This window comes from Homo sapiens, chromosome 2 (genome assembly GCF_000001405.40).
Source record: "Homo sapiens chromosome 2, GRCh38.p14 Primary Assembly".
NCBI lineage: Eukaryota > Metazoa > Chordata > Mammalia > Primates > Hominidae > Homo > Homo sapiens.
The window spans coordinates 232,865,530-232,889,375 of record NC_000002.12 but is presented as its reverse complement, the minus strand read 5'-3'; the positions used below and the strand labels follow the sequence as shown (position 1 = coordinate 232,889,375).

General features: G+C 56.3%; 2 protein-coding genes across 15 annotated transcripts in view, besides 2 other annotated features; one reads left to right on the top strand and one right to left on the bottom strand.

Moving 5' to 3' along the window:
• NGEF (neuronal guanine nucleotide exchange factor) overlaps positions 1–10,675 on the top strand; it is a 134,556-nt gene extending 123,881 nt beyond the window's left edge. For all 6 annotated transcript variants that reach the window (NM_019850.3, XM_011510923.4, XM_047443880.1 and 3 more), the window contains 7 exons: positions 1,269–1,343; positions 4,007–4,096; positions 5,232–5,395; positions 5,910–6,065; positions 7,111–7,190; positions 8,126–8,230; positions 9,697–10,675. In NM_019850.3, coding sequence (NP_062824.2) covers positions 1,269–1,343; positions 4,007–4,096; positions 5,232–5,395; positions 5,910–6,065; positions 7,111–7,190; positions 8,126–8,230; positions 9,697–9,887 — 861 coding nt within the window. In that variant the 3' untranslated portion in view covers positions 9,888–10,675. The remainder of the gene's footprint in view (positions 1–1,268; positions 1,344–4,006; positions 4,097–5,231; positions 5,396–5,909; positions 6,066–7,110; positions 7,191–8,125; positions 8,231–9,696) is intronic.
• On the bottom strand, positions 10,676–22,925 carry SNORC (secondary ossification center associated regulator of chondrocyte maturation). 9 transcript variants are annotated; one of them, NM_001394207.1, is made up of 5 exons: positions 22,665–22,925; positions 20,275–20,329; positions 18,962–19,091; positions 13,254–13,436; positions 10,676–13,129 (listed from the first exon to the last, which is right to left on the bottom strand). In NM_001394207.1, the coding sequence occupies exons 3-5, from the start codon at positions 19,032–19,034 to the stop codon at positions 13,020–13,022; spliced, it is 366 nt and encodes a 121-aa protein (NP_001381136.1). In that variant the 5' UTR covers positions 19,035–19,091; positions 20,275–20,329; positions 22,665–22,925; the 3' UTR covers positions 10,676–13,019. The 9 variants fall into 9 exon arrangements, 7 of the variants coding, with proteins under 7 accessions (NP_001381136.1, XP_016859572.1, NP_001333051.1 ...); XM_017004083.3 differs by lacking the exon at positions 22,665–22,925 and having other exon boundaries at positions 18,962–19,123; positions 20,275–20,362; NM_001346122.2 differs by lacking the exon at positions 22,665–22,925 and having other exon boundaries at positions 20,275–20,362.
• Positions 12,818–12,887: a silencer, noted in NCBI's record as "silent region_12464". NCBI's record gives its function as "represses an Ori minimal core promoter by ATAC-STARR-seq in GM12878 lymphoblastoid cells {active_cell/tissue: GM12878}" and the evidence as "EXISTENCE:reporter gene assay evidence [ECO:0000049][PMID:35858748]".
• Positions 16,417–17,182: an enhancer, noted in NCBI's record as "H3K4me1 hESC enhancer chr2:233736904-233737669 (GRCh37/hg19 assembly coordinates)". NCBI's record gives its function as "activates a minimal SCP1, AML or CMV promoter by ChIP-STARR-seq in naive H9 embryonic stem cells {active_cell/tissue: H9 hESC(naive)}" and the evidence as "EXISTENCE:reporter gene assay evidence [ECO:0000049][PMID:30033119]".
• Positions 22,926–23,846: the final 921 nt, after the last annotated feature.

Genomic DNA, 23,846 nt, shown 5'->3' with positions numbered 1-23,846 from the left:
TCTCCACATCAGGCAGCATGCTGGGGACACACCGAGTGGAGGCTGGCGTGGGAGAGCACGTGCCAGGCTAAGGAACCCATACTGCCCTCCATCTGAGGCCACCAATGCCACCTGGTCAGATGCAGCTTTTATGCCTGTGAGAAAAGATGGCGTCTAAACCGTGCTGTTCAGCAGGGATTTGGAAGTAGGGGGACAGTTAATGACAGGCATGGTGGCCACATACAGGATGGAAAAAGCAGGAAGGTGGCTGTGGGTCTCGAAGGTCTCTGGCTTGGCTGCCAGGCAGAGGCGGGCAGGTGACCACAGGAGAGGCCTGGGCTGCTGTCAGGGGAGACATCTGTGCTGCCGTGGCACCCAGCAGCCGGGAGGACAGGTGGTTGGTGCCCAGATGCACCCAGCCTACTTACAGGACAAAAGCCAGTCAGAAAACGTGGGCATGGTGGGGACCGCTAAGAGGAAACCATGTGGAGTTTATAGAGCAATGTCAAAATCGTAATTTACAGGTGAAAGCAGTATGGGCATAATTTTTTGTTAACTGAAGAAAATTGAACAGTTGGAGAAGAGACTCTTTCTTACACTTTCATGGAGAAGACCAAAGTTAACAAAGTTTCGGGGCCAAATGACAGTCCCAGGGAGGAGAGGGAAGCCCTTGGTCCCCCTACCCCTGTCCCGTAAGCATTTAGCTCCCCTTGGGGACAGAGCTGACCCTAAGCGTGACAGTCCTCACTGCTGGGTGCCACACCTGCGGGCTCTCTTGCTCTCCATTTGTCAGATGGAGGCTGTGTGTATGTGTGTGCGTGCATGCGTGTGTGTGTGCAGGTATGCATGTATGTGCATGCATGTATGTGTGCGCACACATGCTTGTATGCATGTTTGTACACGTGTGTACATGTGTGTGCACTGTGCTTGCAAGTGTGCATGCATCGTGTTGTGCATGTGTGAGCATGTATGCACGTGTGTGCATGCATGTGTGCACGTGTGCTTGTATGCATGTTTCTACACGGTGTGCATGTGTGCACACTGCTTGCAGGTGTGCATCATGTGCATGGTGTGCATGTGTGTGCGAGCATGTATGCACGTGTGTGCACACGCAGGTCTGTATGCATGTGTGCATGCATGTATGCGTGTGCGTGCGTGCGTGTGTGTGTGTGTGCATGCTGCAGCATGGGGCTGGACTGGTGCAGTAGGGAGGTAGTCACGGTCAAGGTGGGAAATGGGAGGAAAGACCAGAAAAGATTAAAGTTAACGCAGCCTTTCTCTGTGCATAGAACATCCTGAAGAGGGTAGAAGAGAGGTCTGAGCGGGAGTGCACTGCTTTGGATGCTCACAAGGAGCTGGAAATGGTGAGTCTCACCTCCTCTTGTGCTGTATCCCAATGCACTGTTTTCCTCATCCAGGCACACCTTTCCGGCCCTGCTCCCCACATGTCCGTGTGTCTTTTTAGAATATGCAAATTTATTTTAAAATTCACTTTTGCAATCAAAAGAGTCACTGGGGCTTAAAAAAATACACCAGGCATGGCTTGGGTAGAGAGCCTTCTTTACCCTGCTTCCTGGCTCCAGCCTTACGTACTCACCGCCTGTCTTGTTACTGTGCCTGGCATGGATGTGGGGACAGCAGCGTGGCTCTCAGGACATTCTTCACCAGTGTGGAGCTCTGCGATCATGCACAGGCCCTGATTCCTCTCATCAGCTCCCTGGGATTGTTCTTTGCAGGCATCTGGGGCCCACACAGACCCCAGGCTTGTCTTTGCCTGTTTTTCCATGTCAGAAACAGTCTCTCCTCCCTCCTGTGAGGCTCACCGAGGCTGGTTCCCACTTTCCCTGTGCCCTGATGAAGCCCTTTGCTCCGAACCCAGCCCTCCACGCCACTCTCCCAGTCCCCGGAGCTCAGTCACCCCTGTGCATCTCTGTGAGGGGATTCACTGGCCCTGCCCAAGAGCCCTGGGCCTTTGCTGCCCAAGAGTGCAAGGACCATCTCTCCAGACCATCTCCTGACCCTCAGAGAGAGACGGCTCCTCCTAGAGGTTTGCAGCAGAGCAGGGGTTTTGCGGGAAGGGCCAGCGAGTATGTTTCAGTCCTCAGGAGCTCTTACCATGCGCTCTGCCACGTTTGGCTCCTGGCATCAGCTGGAGCTGAGAGCCAGCTTTTGACAGCTGTGCTAGGGCACCTCCATTGAGCCAGTGACGCCGTCATGGTGGAGAGCAAGGCGGGGGATGTCCATATTCCACTTCTTTGTCACCCCATGGCAGAAGCTTAGTAAAAAGAATATCACTCTCAGTGGGCATCTGATGGTCATTCTCAGCCACATTGAGACATGAGGACTTCCTACCCTATTGCAGTCGGTTCCCACCTCGGGCCACTCCTCCTGTCCCTTTCCCAGACCAGTTGGCCACCAAAATTCCTCTGGCAGTTACACGCTGTGCCTAGTGAGGAAAGGCTGGAGCCTCAAGCAGGGTAGCCAGGGGGCATCCGCGACCTGTGAGCCAGGCAGCATCTCTAGGGGCCCATGCCCACCTCTGGAAGCAGAGCTTCCCTTTTACCTGATTGGATGTGAGTTCATTCCAGCCACCACCAGACAGCAGCCACACGGGGCCACCATGGCCCGTGAGGGGCCCACGTGCCCCAGAAGGCTCTCCCTGAGGTCAGCCCTGGGCCAGGGGTATGTTTTCTGTTTTTAAAGTTCTTTTCTGCTTTCATCTTCATTTTTCTTATAATGAAAGGTATTCTCTGTTTCTAATAGCTTTTTTTTTTAAAAATGAAGGTTTATTTTTTCTCTGATTTATGAAAGTAATTATACTCAATACCAGGAAACTCAGAAAATGCTTGTAAGTAAAAAGAAAATAAACTTCACTAGCCACCTCGCCCTCCCTGCCGACAGGCTGCAGCTCGCCCTAAACAGACGCCTGTGCACACACACCTGTGCACAGCACACTCGCAGGGCACACACTGCACACACGGCACACGCACAGCACATACACGCCCATACATATCACACACAATACACACCGCACACACATGGCCCCTCATCACACAGTACACACTGCACACACACACAGCACATACCACACACAGTACACACAGCACGCACACACACATACACGGCCCCTACATATCACACAATACACACTGCACACACACACAGCACATACTTATCACACACAGTATGCATAGCACACACAGCACACATGGCACATACATATCACACACAGTACACACCGCACATGCATACACAGCACACACTGCATATACACAGCACACACATGCACACATGGCACACACAGCACACACACCACTGTATTCTTTACAAAAAGGGCTTGTGGTTTAGAAACAGCTTTGCCCCGCATTCGAGTGCAGGTGGAGTCCCTGCCTCTTTCCTGGATTTCTGTTCTTGCGTATCTGCATAGATCATAACTATTTTAATCGAATCCACTGATGGCTGTTGAGGCTGGCGAGCGTGTTTCTCACTCCAGACAACATGGCAGGGAGGCCCTCGCGCACACTTCCCTGGACATGGTGCTCATTTATGTGCCCTGAGAGCCTGCGGCGAGCCTGGCCCTGTGCCGGGCCCCATGTGTCACTGCAGAATTGTCTTCCTTCAGAACGAGTCCTCGGGAGCCCCAGGAAGCGTGGGATTTTTAGGTCCCTTGGTGCCTGGGTGGCCACCCAGGGGGCTGTGGGGAGAACAGCCCGGAGCCCTGCCGGTCCGTCCAGCCTACAGAGGAGGAGGGATGCCTCACGCATGTGTTTTCTGGAGTTTGCTTCCTAGCAAGGGCAAGGCACCAACTTTCTCCACCCAAACTAACAGGTTTTCCCACTTGCCTTTGCCCCACAAGGTGCTAGAAAGAGGAGCTCCAGTCCGACTGAGACTGGCCAGCCAGCCTCAGCTGTGGGCACAGTGTCTGGTCACGGTGGTCACTCAGCCCTGTCTGTGGCCTGACCGAGCTGGAGGAAGGGGCCGGGACAGCCGGCTTTGGTGGCCTGATGTGCCCTCCTTCTTGTCCCAGGTGGTGAAGGCATGCAACGAGGGCGTCAGGAAAATGAGCCGCACGGAACAGATGATCAGCATTCAGAAGAAGATGGAGTTCAAGATCAAGGTGAACCGGTGGGATTGGTGTGAGCCTGTGCCCATGCACAGGCCCCTGGCCCCGCCCCAGAGGCACAGATCACCGCGCCTGGCTGGCCTTGCTTAGGTCCTTGGTCACTGGCCACACTTAGGATCCCCTCTGCCCCCTGACCTCCCCAGCTGAAGCCACCCCGCCTGCCACCAGGCGTCAGACACCACCACGGTGGTCCGGATCTGTCTCCTGGGAGACGGGAGTGCGGGGCTAGTGTGCGGCCCAGACCCACGCAGGGTGTGGACCCTGCTCTCACCTGCCCGCTGCGTGGCCTTGAGCAGTCAGTTTACATGGAGGATGTGGGGGGTGCTGCTCCAGGGATTCTCAAACCAGGAGGATTTGGAAGTTACCAGCTTCCCCCAAACTTCACAGAAAACTTCAGGCATTCGTGAACCCTCAGGTCCCCTGGGCCCGACTTTCTGGGAACTTGGCCACATCAGCACGCTGTGCCCACAGACGGTCCCTGAGGCCAGGCTTGGTTTGGGAGCTGAGCCCCACTAGAGGAGGCAGAGGCGGTCTTCTGGGCGTCCCATGTAGCTCCACACGGTGCTGACCGATGGCTGCCAGGCGCCTGCCCCTGAGTTGCATCGTCTGCCAGGCGGCCGTTCAGCTGCAGGCCTGGCCTCCTTGCCCCGCGGGTCCCATTCTTTCCTCTCTACTGTGAACTCAGCCCCTTCTCTGATTCTGCATCCCACAGGCAGAGCTTGGTGGGGGCAATGATGACAGACACTAGCTGCCACACTCACAGGCACACACACGGTATCCACACAGCAGTGCACACATGTAAACAGCAGTGTACATGCACACAAGCACGTGCACATAACTTTAAGCTCACATGTGGGTACACAACACAGTCCATACACATAGAAGTCCACATGCACAGCACACACACGCATAGCACACTCATGCCCACAGGGGTGCATGTTCACACACACACACACAGCCCTGCCATCTCTCTGCATCCGTCCAGAACTCGGCCTTTCCCCCCAACTTGTGCCTCATGTGTCGGGGCCCTGGGCAGGTGTCAGGGAATGTGACAGACGCAGCCCTGGGGGCATGTCCTGGGGAGGGACATTGTGGGCACAGCCTGCCTGATGCCCTTTCCCCGCTGCAGTCGGTGCCCATCATCTCCCACTCCCGCTGGCTGCTGAAGCAGGGTGAGCTGCAGCAGATGTCAGGCCCCAAGACCTCCCGGACCCTGAGGACCAAGAAGCTCTTCCACGAAATTTACCTCTTCCTGTTCAACGACCTGCTGGTGATCTGCCGGCAGATTCCAGGGTGAGTCGGGGCCCAGGGCATCAGGCGCTCCGGTGGGTAGAGGAGTGTGTTGGGCATTGGGTTTGATTGTGGCCTGGGGGTTGGGGGTGTCGGGACAGAGCTTGGGCTCTTCGGTCAGGTTTAAAGGTCTGTTCTGCTGTGGCCCAGCTTTGGGCCTTTAGCCAAGGTTATTTCACGTTCCTAAGCCTCAGTTTCCCTTCCTGTAAAGTGGGGGTTTTACTCGTAGGGCTGTGAAGGGCCCAGCCCAGTGTCTGATACATAGCGAGTGCTCAGCAGGGAGGCCACGGTAGGGTCGTCAGGGTTGGCAGGACCGTGGTGCTGTTCACTGTCCGCACCTGGGATGGGTCACCCTTTTGGGGTGCGGGAGACAGGCGTTCAGGTGGAAGCTTCAGAAGGAGGTGAAGATCAGCCAGCGCTGTGGAGCCAGGCTTGTTGGCCTGCCAAGTGGGGCTCTCCTGGGACCCCCACAGGCCTCCTCGGGGCTGACACGCCTGCCCTTCTCCCTGATCTCCAGAGACAAGTACCAGGTATTTGACTCAGCTCCGCGGGGACTGCTGCGTGTGGAGGAGCTGGAGGACCAGGGCCAGACGCTGGCCAACGTGTTCATCCTGCGGCTGCTGGAGAACGCAGATGACCGGGAGGCCACCTACATGCTAAAGGCGTCCTCTCAGTGAGTGCCTCGCCGCCACACGCCCAGTGCTACCCGTGGCACCTTTCTGTGTGGCCTCGATGCCTATGGGCCTGTCCCCAGGTGGAACAAGGCACCACACACGCTCTGTGTGGAGCCGACCTGCCCATCCTTCCCGTCCAGACCCTGCGCCAATACTTTCTATGGAGCCGCTGGGGGTGGCTGCAGGTTCCTGGATGCGTGTACGCGTGTACGTGTGTGCGTGTGTGCGTGTGTGTGTGTGTGTGTGTGTGTGTGTGTTCCCTTGGGGCTTCAGACTCTGGGCGAGTCCCTCTTTTTGGATGAGCCCTTTGAGAACCCTTGAGTCAGGCTGAGTAGGGAACCACCATCCTCCTGCTCCCTGCTGCCACTTGCTGTGTGGCATTGAGCTCATCTCTTCACCTCTCTGAGCAGCTGGGACCCCTGCCCTGCAGCCCTAGGCCCCCCACGAGGGACAAGCAAGCTAAATGTGGGGAGAGATGCTTTGCAGGCCTTGAGCCTGGAACTGTGGAGGTTGCAGTGAGCTGAGATTGCAGTGCACTCGTGGAGTGGAACTCCCTCGTGGCCTGCGGAGCTGAGGCTCTGCCCTCCTCCCGTCGTGGCCCCGAAGCTGCCCCTTACCCACAACTCACCAGATATCCTCCCCTGCCCAGACCTGGGGCTGCAGCTGACGTGGACCAGGGCAGGACCTGTCGGGATGAGAAACTGTGGCTTTGGTGGCGTGGCTGTGGCCACGGAATGTGCTCTTACGCGTTACTTGGTGGGACTTGTTACCCTGTGGGCTCACCCTCACTGCCTGACTTCTGAAAGCATCACAGGGGAACATCATAGAGGGGCTCCCCCATGCCCCTCCGTGGGTTCCTGTATGTGTCAGACCCTGGACCAGCCCGTTTCTGTGGCTCCCCCGAGCTGTCCCTGGGGTGGGCTTGAGCGGTGCTCAGGATGGTGGACGCAGATCCGAGGGGCAGCTAGCTGGGAAGCCTCGTGCCACACGTTGGGGGGCTGCCGTTGATCTGCAGTTGGGGCACTGTCCTCTTCCCTGTGCCAGGAGTGAGATGAAGCGTTGGATGACCTCACTGGCCCCCAACAGGAGGACCAAGTTTGTTTCGTTCACATCCCGGCTGCTGGGTAAGTCACCGGTGGGTAAGGGGGCGCCATTTGTCCTTGGGCTGGCCCTGCCGGATGCCGCAGGTGCACGGTGTGCCCTGCCTGGAGGGAAGCCCTCCCTGAGCTGGTGGTCTCAGAGGCCTGCACGGGCCTCCAGGGGCTGCTTCCTACTGGAAACTTAGTACCGGCCAATAACCTGGCATGGCCACACTGTGTGAATGCTGGATGGGCCTTAAGTGACAGGTACCACAAAGTCACCAGGAAGAATTTGGACCAAACTTCACTGCTGTTTTAGGTTTGCCAGTTGTCCGAAAAGCTTAACTAGAAAAAAGCCAGGTGCAGTGGCTCATGCCTGTAATCTCAGAATTTTGGGAGGCCGAGGCGGGTGGATCACCTGAGGTCAGGAGCTCGAGACAAGCCTGGCCAACATAGCAAAACCCCGTCTCTACTAAAAATACGGAATAGCCAGGTGTGGTGCGTGCCTGTAATCCTAACTACTTGGAAGCTGAGGCATGAGAATTCCTTGAACCTGGCATGTGGAGGTTGCAGTGAGCTGAGATTGCACTGCACTCCAGCCTGGTGACAGAGGGAGACTCTGTCTCAAAAAGAAAACACAAGTTCAGCTGCCTTATGGAGAAGCTGCTAACCCTGACCATGTGAACCCTGTCCTGACCACCCCAAACCACACCCAGGGCCATATCCCAGGTACAAAAAGTTCCTTCTGAAGTTTAAACTAAGGCCCCCTCACAGCCTTTATGCATGTATTTCTTCCCAGAACTCCTGGCTATGTTAATAACGTTTTCTATGGAAACAAATCCTCCTCTTCCTCAGACGAGCCCTTCTCCAGTTGCTGTGGGAGTTTTCCTATTCTAGGCAGGGCTCAGCTGCGGGCTTGGTGGGAGTGTGCAGGTGGGTAGTGCGGTGGTGGGGATGTGCCCGTGCCTCTTGTCCCTCAGACTGCCCCCAGGTCCAGTGCGTGCACCCATACGTGGCTCAGCAGCCAGACGAGCTGACGCTGGAGCTCGCCGACATCCTCAACATCCTGGACAAGACTGACGACGGTGAGGCCCAGGGACCTCCCCTCGGGGCCCCCAGGGGAACTTGCCCCACAAGGGATGACGGGGAGGGGGAGAAGCAGATGCCACCACTGTCTGACAGGCTGGTGTCCTGCCATGTCTCTTGCTCCCTGAGACATTCTGCTTGGACACTGCCCATGCTGGCTTCACTGGCCTCTCTTCAGTGTAAAGGAGGAATTGTTTCCAGTGCCTCCCTGTCCTCCCCTAGAGCCGGGAGACCCCACCTTTCCTCCTTCGCAGTGGGCCCAGCCCAAGCGGGTGGCTTCGTGTCCCCCTCCCCTGGCCCTGGCCTCAGCACCCCCATCACAGTGGGAGGGAGGACAACCAGGAACATCCTAAGCCTGACCTGACCCAGACCTGTACTTGCAGCTTCAGGTAAAGCCTGTGACTGCCAGGCTCGGTGCCCCATGTGGGCCAAGAAGCCGCCCCCAGCTCCTGGCCACCCCTGCTGCTGTCATCAGTACCAAGCGAAGTTCCTCCCAGCCCCTGTAGAATTGAACACTGACCCCCTTTCCCTTTTCAAATCACATCTGTGTGTCTACAGTAATTGCTCCTGATCCAAATCCCCAAAGTATACAACTGCATCTTCCCTGCTTCCTCTCCTCCTGCCGGGTCCTGGTAGAAGGCCTCAGGCTGTGACCTCCAGGGGAGGCCTTCTCCAGGGAGTCCCTCTTGTGGGCTGTTCCCAAAGGCCCAGGGGCTCTCCTGCCCTCTTCCCATGGAATATAACTAGCCTGCTCCCCTCCCAAATGAGACCTGCAGAGGGCATGCCCCAGGCCTCTTAGCTCCCAGGTTGGGATATGCTACAGATCGGCCACAAACTCTGAGCAAAGACCTGGTGATCTCTAGGGGAGGGGAGAGGTGGAGAAACAGCGCAGGGAGAAGCCAGTTGACGCTGAGACTACTCGTGCTGCCAGTTCCTGATGCACCCTCTCCACTGACCACACCAGCCCTCAGGAGGCCAGGCCTGGGAGGATCGGCCCCGCAAGAGGCTAATGACACAGTCCAGGCCAGCTAACCACATGCTCGGCTGCCACCCCCACCAGCCCCTTGAATGACACAGTCCACGCCAGCTAACCACGTGCTCGGCTGCCACCCCCACCAGCCCCTTGAATGCCTCCAGCTTTTTGGAGTGGCCCTTGGGGTCTCCTGGGCTCGTGTAGGGCAGCATAGAATTGCTGAGGGTCCCAGAGTGGGTTCCAAAGTCAACGTGGAACTGCGTGGCACGGAGCAGGCCTTGTTCCGTGCAGGTGCTCATGCACCTCCCAGCTTATGGGGGTGACTCCAGTCTGAGCATCTCGGCAGAGGTGTGCAGAGCCGCTGCCTTTTGGGAAAGGCCAGCTGGACCCCTAGTGTCCCGCCACAGATGGGGGCCCTGGCCAGGAGGGAGCCTCTGTGCAGCCTGTGCCCTGCAGGAGCACTGACCTTCTCTCCCTCCCCTCCCTGCACAGGGTGGATCTTTGGCGAGCGTCTGCACGACCAGGAGAGAGGCTGGTTCCCCAGCTCCATGACTGAGGAGATCTTGAATCCCAAGATCCGGTCCCAGAACCTCAAGGAATGTTTCCGTGTCCACAAGATGGATGACCCTCAGCGCAGCCAGAACAAGGACCGCAGGAAGCTGGGCAGCCGGAATCGGCAATGACCCCCACCCAGGGGGCCAGCGGGAGCAGGGCCTGCATGAGACCCCGACAGAAGGTGGGGGGGGGGGGGCTCTGGGAAGCACAGGCCAGCACCTCCCCAGGTGGCAGGATCTGGCTTGGGGTGCCCGGCCCTCATCCCTGCCCACGCAGTGAGTGCTCATGTGTCTTGGCCCCTTGCTCGCAAACTGGATAAAGGGTGCCCAAGCCTCTCCTGATGCATTTGTAAACAAGAAGGTTTCAGCAGTATTACACCACCTCCCTCATGCCTCCGAGGGGGTGGAAGGGGGTGGGCACACTCCAGGGCCCCCCATGCCCCTGGCCCCCAGGGACTGGAAGAGGCTCCCAACCCAGAGTGTCCCTGTGGGAGGCAGGCAGAAGGTGACAATTGACACGATTTCCTGCACGCGTCCTCCTCTACCTTGGAAGCAGTTAGAATCTACCAGGCACAGATGAGGCCGCCCTTGCCTGACGGAGCTTGATGAGCAGCCCTTGGTCTCCGGTTCCAGGACTGAGAGCCCAGCTGCCTCTGCCCACCCTTCCCCAGGCCTCTGCCAGCCTCTGGCTGCACGGTCAGGCCCTGCCCCATGGCAGGCCTGCCAGAGCTTGGCTGGGGACCCCTCCCGCCTCTGGCTCCCTGATGGGCTGGATGTAACTTGTGTCTTCTAGCCCCTTAAGGAGCCCAGGTGTTTTAAGGAATGAATTGGTCACTGCATCTTGTATCGATTATGGTTCTGAGAAAAGCAAATATCACTTTTGGCTGCATTAAAAGAAGCATCATATATAAAATAAAGAAGATGAAGGTCTACTCTTTATTGCCCTTGTACACAAAGGAAGGGGGTGTTTGGTTCCAGGTAGTGAGAGAGGAGCACCCCTTCAAGGCTGGTCGAGGAGGCATGTCCCAAAGGAAGAGTTCAAGGCGGTTTCCAGAGAGGAAGGAACAGCCAGGGCCTTGCCTCAACATGGGAACGGATTTGGGCCTCCACTTGTAGGACTCCAGAAACAGAAAGGGCTGTTTGACGGAGCTGGGGACGCCCCTCTGCTGCAGTGGAAATGAGGACACAGCTTTGGAAGACCGTAGAGGCCCCGAAGTGTCCATGGTGGGGGGGGCCCTACAGGGGATCTCACCACAGGCATGGGGCTGGGACTTCCTGCACTGCCCAGAAACAGGCCCTGGGCCCTTCACACCTTCAGTTACCCAGAGCGCACCCCCTCCCCTCGCCCCAGCTCCACCTCAGTGTGCTGAGGGGTCCTGTGTGCCCAGGACCACGATCTCTGCCAGGACACAGTTTCCCTGCTCGCCAGAACAGGCCTCTGGTTTAGATCCAGTGGGACTTTGTAGCGTCTTCCCACAGGCCACAGCAGGGTGCTCGGACCTCAGACCCTCTGAGAATCACAGAGATGCACAGGCATGTGACACTGGTTCCACCGGAGAGGGAGGCCCCCTGGTCCCAGTGAGGGGCTGTGATGCACCCGTTGGTGGGGGAGTGCTTGCAGAGTGGGGAAAGGGAAAGAGGGGGCCATCTCTCGTCCCTGGAGGGGAGGGTTGGGAAGGAGTTGGGTGGCCATTGGTCCCCGTGCCTTTTGAGGATGGGAAACAGCATGTTGGGTTGGATCGTCCGCTCTGATGAAGGCTTTGGTTACTCAAGGTTATGTGAGATGAAGTCAGTTAACCAATTAGGAAAATAGGTCAGTTTCATAGCACTCCTTTATAAGCAGAATCATTGAACTCACAGTGTATTTTGGGGAGACTGGTTGAGTGGGAAGCTGTTAACAGACTTGGATGAGGCCTTGACCCTATCCCCCAGTGTGTGAGAGGTGCGCGGGCACCACCTGGGCTCCAGTGTCCAGGAGGAGAAAGTCACGGCAGGAAACAGTGCCATGGGGAGCTCAGGGACACCAAAGGGGCCAAAACAGCTGCTAGAGAAAATGAATTTTTAAAAAAGAGAAGCAGCTTGCCCTCCAGCAACATTCCCACTCAGGAATCTTCAGATACATTAAGCTGTCCCCAAGGGGTCTGCTGGCCTCCAAACTGTCCAACCCTTCCCTCCAAAGGCCCTGGGGACTGGGGTAGGGACCAAGTTCCCACTTCCTGCTGTGCTGAGCAGGTTAAATGATCAAAGGATCAAAGTTTACATCTCTAAATGCTTCCGAGGTGGGGACCCTGGACCAGGCTCCTCACCCTCACTCCGCCCCGACTCTCTGAGGGTGAAGTGAGGTGAGTAGAGCTGGGAAAGCCGTTTTCTCTCCCTGAACAAACCAACCGTGGGCGTGGGGGCTGCCGGCCCCCAGCCAGGCCTGGGGGTGAGAGTAGGAAGCAGGGGCGGGCCGTGTCCGGCGTCGACTCTCGACTCATCCTGCTCCTGAGGCTCCCTGGGCAGAGGGGGGCTTGGGGCTGCTGGTCTGAGCCCGCGGATGGGGCCCTGGCTGCAGGACTCAGAGTCAAGACGTCCCCCAAAACCACGCGGCCTCTGGCTGGGAGAGCCGACGGCCCCTGCCCTCCCCAACCCCGGCCTCAAGGAGCGGCGGGCCCCGGGGTCTCTGTCGGCCTCTCCTGCCCTAGCGCTTACCTCCTCACGGAACGCTCTGAACCCCAGCGGAGCGGGATGGGAGGCAGGCCCCGGGGAGCGCGGCGAGGGCCTCGGCCCGCGCCCAGGCAGAGGAGGCGGCGCCGGGAGAAGGGGCCGCCCGTGGCGTGGCCCTGACCGTGACGGTGCCCCCGGACGGGCTAAGACCGCTGGCCGCACACCCGCTCCGATGCCCTGGCGGCCCCGGCGCACGCGCACCGGGCACGCACATGCGGCGCGCTCCTGAGGCACTCCAGCCGTGGTGCACGGGGACGCCGAGCCGCGCGGCCCTGCGCGCGCTCAGGTGCACGCCACACGCAGGCGGGCTCGGACATGCTGTGCGCTCACGCACGCCCCGGCGCCCCTGCGGGGAATTCGGGCGCGCCTCCGGACCCGCGCGCGTGCACGGCACCCACCCTCGGCCCCGCGCGCACCCCCGCCCTGAGCGCTCGCCTGCGCGCGCTCACGCTCTGGCACACCTGCATGCGCGGACACGCACGCGCGGACATACAGGCGCGTGAGGAGTGCAGCCGAGTCGCGCCGCGGCCGGGCGCGGCCCCTTTATTCGCTTCAGGAGGCAGAAAACTTTCTCAGCGCGACGACCACGAGCGCCAGCACCACGCAGGTGGCCAGCAGGGCGGCGATCACGATGGCCGCGATAGCGCCGGGCCCCAGCGACCCTGCGGAGGACGGAGGACCATGTCACCTGCTAGCCCCCGCCTGGCCGGCCCTTCTCCCCGCGCCCCCCGCCCCCCGCCCCTCCTAATTTCTCCCTCTCCCCTCCCTCCCCCGCCCCGCCCGTACCGCCGCCCTGGTCCAGCCGCTCCTGCGCGGTGCTGTCCTCGGGTCCTGGCGCGACGGTGGGGGCTGGGGGACCGGTGTCCACGGGCTCCCGGCCGGGGCTGGTGCTCTCCACGGGGCCTTCTCCCGACGGCAGCTCGGCCGGCTCGTTCCACAGCGTGGGCACGGGCTCCTGTGGAACATCGTCTGCAAAGCCAAGGAGAGGTGCTGGGGCCCCAGGTGACGGGGCCGACAGGGACGTCACCCCCCACCTCTAGGTTAAGCAAGTTGCCGGTAGCGCTGTGTGAGGGGTCTGGGCTCAGCGCTGCACTAGCCCTCACATTTCCCAGGCTAAGAAGCTGAAGCCAGTGCGTTGCTGCCTCCCATTGGGCAGGGCCGGTGGGTGGGCAGGAGGAGTGTCTGTTCAGTGTAAGGGAGGTGCCCCCCACAAAGCCCTTCTCTGCTTATAGGGTTGGGAGTTGGCAGGATTTGGGGTACCCAGGGACCAGAGAGCAGAAAGGAGACATTCTCAGTCCCACAGAAAGCACAGGCTGAGACGCCTGCATGATAACCCCCGCCCTGTATCCTCACCAGCCAGCCCACCCCAGTTGTCCTCCCCTGACCACCACTCCAACCCTGGGCCATCCATCCCCGGCAACCAGACAGGATGCCCCAGAAACGCTGGAAAGCTCAACATGGGGATGGTAGGTCGGCTCTTGGCCTCTCCAGCCCAGCCAGACCATCTGACATCACAGTGTTAGCAGGGCAGGCCTGCCCATGTCCTAATCTCTCTCTCTCTCTTTTTGAAACAGAGTCTTGCTCTGTGCCCAGGCTGGAGTGAAGTGGTACAATCTCGGCTCACTGCAGCCTCCGCCTCCCGGGTTCAAGCAAGCGATTCTCCTGCCTCAGCCTGCGGAGTAGCTGGGACTACAGGCACCTGCCACTACACCCAGCTAATTTTTGTATTTTTAGTTGAGACGGGGTTTGCCATGTTGGCCAGGCTGATTTTGAACTCCTGACCTCAGGTGATACACCCGTGTCGGCCTCCCAAAGTGCTGCGATTACAGGTGTGAGCCACTGCGGCCGGCCCCATGCTCTAATCTCAACTGGGATAGAGACTGTGATCCAGGGACACTCGACCCTCAAGCCGGTTCCCTGGATGAGCTTGGGGATGTCCCAACACCTCATCTCTTTGACTCCAGCTACTCTGTGGTGTGGGAACTGCTTTTATCCCCATTTCAGAGACAAGAAAGCCAAGGCTTGGGGATAAGGTGCCGTGGTGGTGAGCACAGGTGGGCTGAAGGCCTTGGACAGTTGCAGGAGCGGTTGTGCTGCCCAGAAACAGTGCAGGGAGGCTGCCGTTCTGTGAACAGACCCTGCCGGCCAGCCGGCGACCCTAGGGCACCTTTTGTCCCTGCGGGTTCCATCCCTGAGCGCTGGGGCAAGAGTCAAGCCAGACACTTGCCCTCCTCATAGGTTCACCAGCACCCAGAGAGGCGGATGCTCGAGAAGACACAGAGGTCCTTCCAGGGTTTTCTGGCCAGTTGTGTCCATCTAGGGCAAACCACGCAGAAACATCAGCCAACCCAGACTCAGGGTCAGTCTTAAAGTAAATGGGCCTTCCCAAATGTCAAAGTTAGGAAAAACAAAGAAAGGCCGAAAGGTTCCAGATCAGAGACTAAGGAGACAGCTCAATGTTCCTGGACGGGGAGGGACAGGCCTGTGATCGGAGACTCAGGTCCGTTGGTGAAGTTTGAACAGGGTGTGGCTTAGGACTGCCTCAGTGCTCACTTCCTGGTTTTGATAGCTGACTCTGGTGTGTTAAGAGAATGTCCTTGTTCTTAGGAAGAATTTAGGGGCAAAGGAACATGACTTCTGCAACTTACTCTCAAATGATTTCAGCATTCAGATAGAGGATTCAGCAATGTAGCAAAATGTTGGCAGTTGGCAAGACTAGGTGGATGGACTCCTGGAGTTCATTGGAGTATTTGTGCAACTTTTCTGTAAACTTCACATCTTTCCACAATAAAATGTTAGCAGGTCCCTGGCTTCTGGGCCTCTCTCAAGCCTGGAGAGGTCAGTTGCAAGGCTCAGCTCTGAGACAGCTTGCTGACCTTTCACCTGACCTGCCACATTCCCCAGGGCTGGCCCAAGGCAGAACCCCTTTCCAGAAAAGACCTCTGGCAGGAGGCCCCATGGGTGGAAGGCCCATTGGCCCCCAACTGGGGGAGGCTTCCCTCCCGAGGGGCCCAAGGCTGCACTGTAGCACTGATGTCTCTCTAGCCTCCCGCAAACCTTGAAGACCACCCTGAGAGGAGGGGAAGTGACCCAGCCAGGCCTCCCATGTCGCAGCCAGAAAGGCAGGGGTCTGCAGCCTTGCAGTCCCCATGGAAGGCCCCAGGCCCCTGGCGTGCTGCCTCAGGCTTCTGGGGGCTGGGCAGGTAAAAGGCCTGAGTGCGCCCACCGCCTGGCAGGCACCAGGGTCTAGGCTCACTGACTGCCTGAACATGTCCAAAGAAATGGACAAATGACACACCCAAGACAGACTGGCAGGTAGGCACCTCCCTGCATCTGGAGGCCGCGGCAGGGCTTCTGGGTACCAGGCCCAGCTGAGCCGGGTGGCATCTGCGGGAATCAGCCGAGGAGTGGCAGGCCTCCAGCCCCTGAGAAGGCAGGGCTCAGTACCCAGGCCAGCCCAGCAGGGGTGAGCTGCCACCCTTGACGGTACCCTCTGAGCAGGGCAGTGGGGAGCCCCACTCAGGCCCTGTCCCCATCTGTCCCCCGTGACCCAGCCTGTCTCTGCTGCGCCCACCACCAGACATACCTGCCCTGGCCTCCTCCCACTGTACACAGCCCCCTCCTGTCCAGCCAGGCCATGAAGCTTTCTAATCAGGAGGGCTGGGGCCTATCCTTGCTCCATGCCCCAATCCACCTTCCTGACCTGTAAGACGGGGGTTCAGACTATGCTGTCAAGCATCTTGCACAAGGAGGTAACTGTGTGAACACCAGCATCTTCAGCTGCTGCGTCTGGCCTGGGGTGCGCCTTTGGACACAAGCCCAGTTGCTATGGGTCTGCAGCCGCTGGCTGCCACAGGAATCCCTCACAGGCTGGCCCAGTACCCATCTGCACCCAAGCGGCCAGGGCCCCAGGAGCCACCAGCTCCCTGCCAACCTAGGCTGGTGCCCAAGTGGCAGACACATAGGCTCGGAATGACAGCCTGCACTCAGCCACCGATCCACCAGGAAAAGGGGTGCCGCTGCCAGGGAGGGGCCGAGGCACTTCTTATCCTCATCTATGTTTCTAGAATTTACTCCAGTAAGAAGGGAAAGCAAAGCTGAGAGGCAATTCCCATCTTCCCCCAAATCCATCCTTCTGGGAAGCTGGGAGCAGAGCAGTTTCCCAGCAGGAGTCCTGTCTGGGGAGGGGGGAGATGGGGCAGGAGCGAAGGTGTGGAGGACGGAACTCACGGCGTGCCAGGCGGACAGTGAATAGGCCAGGGTGACAGAAAGTGAGGTTGGCAAAGAGGTGGGGGCACGGAGGACCCCAAGAAAGTTCCATGGCGGTAATGAGGCCCAGACTCCACTGACCAGAATTAGCCATGTGGTGTGGCTACGCGCTCTGACCCAGGGAAGCAGGGGCTGGTGGCACTGCCACAAGCCTGGGCACCACGGGCTCTCTCCCAGCCCCACTGGCCCCAGCCGCCCTGCCTTTTGGTAAATAAGTGTGTTCTGACCACAGGGCCCTGAGGCCAGGCGCCTCTGCTCACAGACAGCCTTTGTGTGGGCCATGAAGGGCCTTTTCATCCCTGCCCTGGCCTCCTGCCCGCTCAGCCCGGCCTGCTCCCACCTCAGTAGCTGAGGCCACAGGCCCCCAACAGGGAGGGCCTGTGCCTCAGATGGGGCCTGGGCCTCAGCCCACAAGGCCGCTCCTTCCCTTCCTGTCTGCTACAGGACCCCAGCCCACAGAGCCCAGGGCCGTGTACACACCTGTCCAGAGCTCCCAGCCCAGGGGTGGGGTCAAACGCTCTCGCAAGAACAACAGCCAGAACCCCAGAGACTCCGGGGTTGGGAAGGCCTGGTCTGGCCCCTGCGGGGGGCCTGCCTACTCTTGGTAGGACACATGGAGGGAAGTGGGGCAGTGAGGCCAGGTGAGGTCCTGGCTGTCCCCAAGGCATCCTGTGGTGGCAGAGGAAGCCCACCCGCCTACAATGATTAGGGACAGTCTGGCCTGGGAACTCTGGCCGGCAGCCTGGGCCAGGAGGGTCAGCCACACAGGAGTAGGAACCTGGGCAGGAGCCACAGGCAGCCCAGGCCCAGCAGGCAGGAGCCAGGGCCTCCCCTTCGGCCCACACGGACCACCAGGCTGGAGAAGCAGCTTCTTCCCAGTGAGGGGGCTGCAAAGATCACAGCCCCAGGATCCAAGCCATGGAAGATGCCACCTTCCCCTTTAAGTCCCTTCCCCCCATCCTGGGAACACCGCATGGCTCGCCTAGGCTGGCGCCTCTTCCACCACAAGGGAGGCTGGCGCCCTCCCAGCTTGCGGGAGGAAGTAGAGTTCTGTTGAGACCACCCTGTGCCAGGGAGGGGCTCGGACCACAGAATCCACATTCGCGCTAACTGGATGTGGGGCCCATCCCAAAAGCTCCGCACGTCTGAACTCACGAGGCCTCACAGACCCCTGCAAGTGAGGCAGAGCGTGGCTGTGTCACCATCCTACAGATGACGAGAAGGCACAGAGAGGTTAAGAAACCGCCCGGTCAAGACTGAGCACACCCTGGCCTCAAGCTTCTTCCTGGGCGTCCAGGGAGAAGCCAATAGTCTCCGGTGCTCCTCGCTGTCACCCAGACCTCCCAGGGTGTGGCCGAGGGGGCCTCCCCAGGCCTGTCGTCCCCCAGAAGCTCTCCCCAGGCCATGCTCTCATGACTGCGGTCCACCTTTCTCACAGATCCACGGGCGCCCTCCAGAAGACCCAGGCTGCAGGGTCCCTGAACCCCGCTACTGTGACACAGAAGCCAGCTGCCCTTTGGTCCAACTCCCGGCCAAAAGGAGCAAAGACCACCTGTAACCCGTCTGCGCCCTTTGTCTCTCAGGCTCTGAAGCCAGCCTGGGCCAGTCTTCCCCTCTCCACAGGGCCCTTGGGAGCCTGCCAGAGGCCTCCCTCTCGTGGGACCCCAGACTCCGCCACTCTGATCTCAGTCCAGAGGTCCACACCGTTTTGCAGAGGGATCTTGGGCCTTGTATTCTCTCCCTCTCTGGAGCCTTTTCCCAGATGGGGACAGTACCTGGGTCCTCATTCTCTAAGGACGTCGCAGAAACCAGCAGGGAAGCTTTTCAAAGTAATCAGCAAGGCTCTGCACTCCTCTGGCCCCTCAGCTGCTTGTCCTGTGCCTGGTGCCCCAGCTGCCTCCCAGACCTGGGAGACTTCAGATTTTAAAGTGCTAGAGCAATACCCATGTCCCCCTCAACAGCAAAACATCCCTGGGCCTGCCCCCCAAGTTGTCCTCCTTCTCCAGAGGCCATTATCCCTCCTGCTAACAATTTCCTGAGACGTCCATCCCACACAGCTGCTGCCAGCCGGCCTCACAAGAGCTCTTCGCAGAATCACCCCAAATAGTCATCCCATCTCCTGTGAGAGGGCTTCCTCCCCAGTGAACGTTGAAGAATCTGGCCCCAAGGTAGTTATCGGCCCTGGGAGGCTAGTGGTGGCTGAGACAAGGGCCTTCACCTCTTACCTGTGAGCACCGCAGGGGCCAGAACCCCGGAGACCAGCAGCAGCGCCATGCGCAGGGCCAGACAGGATGCCATCCTGGCCGGGAGTGAGGGCAGCGGCGGGCGGGACGCACGGAGGACTGCGCTGGTTAACTTCAGGGCAGTGAGAAAGAGGCATCAAAGGGCTGGGAAGGGTTTTCATCAATGCAAACTCTGTCCTCCTGGGACATCGTGCCCGCACCTCCCCACCCCCCCGCTCCCCCCACCAACACACACACACAAGAGCTCACAGAACAGACCTGCTTTCCTGAACCTGGGAGCAGCCCCGCTCTTGGAGAGGGAAAGAGGAAATTGCCTGTGCTCTCTCTCTTTCTCCACCCCGCAACACACACACACCTCCCACATTTACTCCTGGACCACTGAAAATGAAAGGTTTTCAAGCTTTCTTGTGCAAAAGAATCACCCAGGGAACTTGAAACATGCTGCTGCCTCTGGCCACTGTGTTTCAGTGGGGCTTGGGTAGCCCAGGGAATCTGCATGTTAGTGCCTGTGGCCTGGGCTTGGGGAAATTTGGCCTGAAGCAGGCAGCACTGAGTGCAGGACGGACTCTGCTCACCTCTGGGTTCTCCATGCCTGGCCCGGAGTAGGTGCTCAGTGCTTGTTGAAGAAGGACTTTTAAAGCAGTTTTGATCCAAACCCTCAGGCAGCTCTAGTCTTTCCTAAAACGCTCCTGTTTCCTCTTTCGCTCTCTGCCTCCCTAGACCCCTGTGCACTTATGACATCCATTTCCAGGCTGGGCCTGGCTCAGAACTTAGCCCCACTGCCCACTGCTTCTCAACAGCCCCGCAGGGTATCTCACGAGCGGCTACAACTTACAGTGTCCAAAGCAAACCTTGACTCTACTGCCCCTTCCCTCACTCAGTCAGTGGAATCCCAGTTCCCCGCTCCCAGATGTTCTAGCCACACAATGAAGTCATCAAAGGTGTCTCTTTCCCTCACTTCCCACGTCTGAGCCCTCAGAGTTCTGTCAGCGCCCCCTACTTCACACCTTGATGGTTTCCCACCGCGCTAAGGGCTTGCCTCGGCCCTGCTCAGCTTCCCACCCACGAGCTCTATGTTTCAGTCCACTGGCCGTGACTAGGCTCCCCCAACAAACCCCCAGATCCTGCCTCAGGCCTTTGCATGTTCCCCTCTCCTCCCAGAAGGCAGTCCTGTGGTGATTATGTGGCCACCCCTTCCATTCAAGCCTCAGCTTGATAAGTCAGCCCCTCAATCCCCCCATCACTTCAAATTTCTTTTTAGCATGCGTATTTATATGAAATTACCTTGTACCTACCCTAACAACTTCTCCTTGCCTCCATATCCATAACTAGAATCAGGTATCAGCATTCCTAGGGAGAGCAAGCACAAAGTCTGACTTAGGAGGAAATAAGCACAAACTAAAAACTACTGTTAATTTATGCTAGCAATAAATTAGTATCAAGTTAGTAAGATACGAATTTTGCTAATTTATATTAATAGAAACATGGTGTGGGAATGAATTCTAAGGTGTCAGACTAAATAGGCAAGATGTGAGTATGACATTAGATCCGGCCACATTCTAGACAGGGGTGTGCTTAGTGAAGTCTGAATTTAATGTTTCAACCTAAGCATCTAGGAGCAGCTCTGTTTGGCTGGCTGACCAAAACCTAGGCTCAGTAAAAGCCTGGATGCTATGAGATTGAGAAGCCTAACTTAATGAAGAAGGGGATACCAATGGCTTAGTAAGAAAGGAATGTTGGGGTGGATTTATCTTTGGCGACCACACTAAGTTCTCAGTAGGTCCCATAGTACACACTATTCACCAAGACACTGCGAGATGCATTAGTGAAGACCGGCAACTTTAAAAAGATAGGTTGTGGCTGTTTTTTGTAGGCCAGAGTTGATGATGGGATCACTGATTTCAGAGGAAATAATGTGATTCTAAAGTAGCAGAGGCCAAGCGGCAGCAGAGGCCGGGTGGACGCCAACCCTGCCATGGATGGTGAAGATGAAATGACCTGGCCAGGTGCGGTGGCTCCCGCCTGTAATCCCAGCACTTTGGGAGGCTGGGGCAGGCGGATCACTTGAGGTCAGGAGTTCAAGACCAGCCTGACCAACATGGCGAAAACCCATCTCCAATAAAAATATGAAAATTAGCCAGGCATGGTGGTGCACACCTGTAGTCCCAGCTACTTGGAAGGCTGAGGCACAAGAATTGCTTGAGCTTGGGAGGTGGAGGATGCATCTCAAAAAAAAAAAAAAAAAAGATGAAATGACCCATCAGAATGTTTTGATCCCTAGGAATAAAACAGCCAGCCAGTCTACTAATGTATTACTTGATATACAAAAATGAACAGGTGAGCAGAAATCTGTATTTACTATAATGGAGCATCAAGGTTCTCACTTGGTTCCCAGAACCAAAATCTCTTGATAGAGAGGGAGGCAATTTATCTTTAAGGAAGGACCCTGCAAGATGGCCACAAGTACAGACAATGAATCTTCTTCCAAATCTTCCTCAAAGGTTTAGGCAGTCGTGGACCAGAATAGCTGGGCACTGGCGGAAAGGAGATGCATTTGTATTTCAGGGATCACTAGACTTTGGCTTTTTGCTGACACTCATCTTTGGATATTCAAAATGTCACTGTGTTTACCAAAGTGAAAGTGTATGGAAGTCAAGTGACATATGGATGATAGGGAGGGAGGCAGGCTGCCCAGGGGCAGCAGTGGGCTGAGAACCCACCCTGGGGAGGCAGGACGAGGCAGGCGTGAGCCAAGGCTGCAAGCTGCTGCTGCGTGCTCCACTATTCCATCAGACTTTACTTATAAAACTCAAATTTCAAAGATAAAATTAAGAATTTCAAGACAATGAATTGTATTTCAAATGATTATTATAACCATGCTAAAGGTAGAAAAAAATACTTAGACCAGACAAAAAGTCTAAAATTACAGATAGCTGCAATGAATAATACTATACATATGTATTTTTATAATGTTGGAGTGTCTTTAAGCAAGTATAGAACTCTACTTGGAAAACTTGTCTCTAGTTAGAGCTAACACATATAGAACTCTAGTTTAGAAAGCTTGTCTCTCTTGGTATGGGTTAGCAATTCTGTAACCACTTTGGTATATCCTAGGATTTAGCAAATAAGGAAATACTGAGGATTATGGAAGTGCACAGTAGTACTAGTCATTCGACAGACAGGTGATTCCCCAACAAAAACACCAAGGAAGTGTGAAGCTATTTTTTAGAAATAAACCCAATTTATGGCTCATTTTCACAAGTTTTAGTACCTAGGTTAAATTTTCCAAAGGGTGTTCAGGCTTGGCTGGGCACTGTGGCTCACGCCTGTAATCCCAACACTTTGGGAGGCCGAGATGGGAGGATCACTTGAGGTAACGAGTTCGAGACCAGCCTGGTCAACATGATGAAACCCCATCTCTACTGAATGTGAGAGACATGGTGAAACCCTGTCTCTACTAAACATACAAACATTTTTATAATGTCTTTATAATAGTCTCTACTAAAAATATAAAAATTATCCAGGCATAGGGGTGGGTGCCTATAATCCCAGTTACTCAGGAGGCTGAGGCAGGAGAATTGTTTGAACCTGGGAGGCAGAGGTTGCAGTGAGCTGAGATCGCACCACTGCACTCCAGCCTGGGTGGCAGAACAAGACTCCACATCAAAACAAAAACAAAACTCACTTTTTTTTTCAAAGGGTGTTCAGACCTTTGTGCATGTGTGTCCCAAACTTGAACCTAATAGGCGTGCAAACAGAAAATTAATCTCATAAGCTGTGGTGAAAAATACCATAGAATTTCCTCTAATTTAACTTACTAAAAACTTAGATTCTTGGTAAATACTAAAAATTTTCTCAAAACCTATCAGTTATTCAGCAAGTAGTTATTGAGTGCAGGTCCACAAAACATGCCAAGCAATACACAGCTACACAGCTACCAAAAGAAGGGTGTAGTCCTTGGCCAAAGTGAATATATCCTACGAAACGAATTTAACAATGGAAACTGCTGGGAGCTATCTGCGTTTGGGTTTCCCTAAGGCAGACCTTAAGACAAAGACCTGGGCACAGAGAACTTATATAGGTGGGGCCAGTAAGACAACAGGGATAAAGCCAATAAAGTTTGTGTTAATGAGCAAAAGCAAAAACACTGAAGGTAAGGGAGTGTGAGGTTTCTCCCTGCTTAAGGGAATTGCAAATATGAAAAGGAGAGATTAGAATGAATCCTATGGCATTTGTACTGGAATTGCAGATCTCAGCATGAATACACAGATAGGTGTAGATACACAAGCGTTTCTGTACCTATACACATACATAAACACCCTTACTGTGGACAGTCTAGAAGCAGTGATACCACACTAGCAATGAGCCCATCCAGTGGCCAGGTTTTGGTTTTTAGATACCATTCCCCACTAAAAGGAGACAGTGCTCTTTGGAGAAATGACTAATTCCACATATGATAAAGGAAAAGTAGATGATGGGCCTAGAATTTCTGGTGCCAAAGTGAAAAAGTGCTCAAAGAATGATGGGAATATGGCAAAAGGACAGAGAAGCCAGTTCTAAATGGACAATTTGTGCATGAAAAATACCAACAGATTGTGGCTAATATATAGAGGGTATGCATGTGTGCGTGTATGAGAAGCTCTTCCTGGCCGGGCACGGTGGCTCATGCCTGTAATCCCAGCACTTTGGGAGGCTGAGGTGGGTGGATCACTTGAAGTCAGGGGTTCAAGACCAGCCTGGCCAACATGGCAAAACACTATCTTTGAATCGCCTGAACCTGAGAGCAGAGGCTGCAGTGAGCTGAAATTTCCTCCAGCCTGGACAACAGAGCAAGACTCTGTCTCAAAAAAAAAAAAAAAAAAAGTAT

Excerpts from the sequence above, each read along its gene's own strand:
- SNORC (NM_001394207.1), bottom strand. The coding sequence starts at position 19,034 with ATGGCATCCTGTCTGGCCCTGCGCATGGCGCTGCTGCTGGTCTCCGGG. Across the intron at positions 13,437-18,961 it reads GGCCCCTGCGGTGCTCACAG|ACGATGTTCCACAGGAGCCC; the intron begins GTAAGAGGTGAA and ends TTGGCTTTGCAG. Across the intron at positions 13,130-13,253 it reads GCGGCTGGACCAGGGCGGCG|GGTCGCTGGGGCCCGGCGCT; the intron begins GTACGGGCGGGG and ends CGTCCTCCGCAG.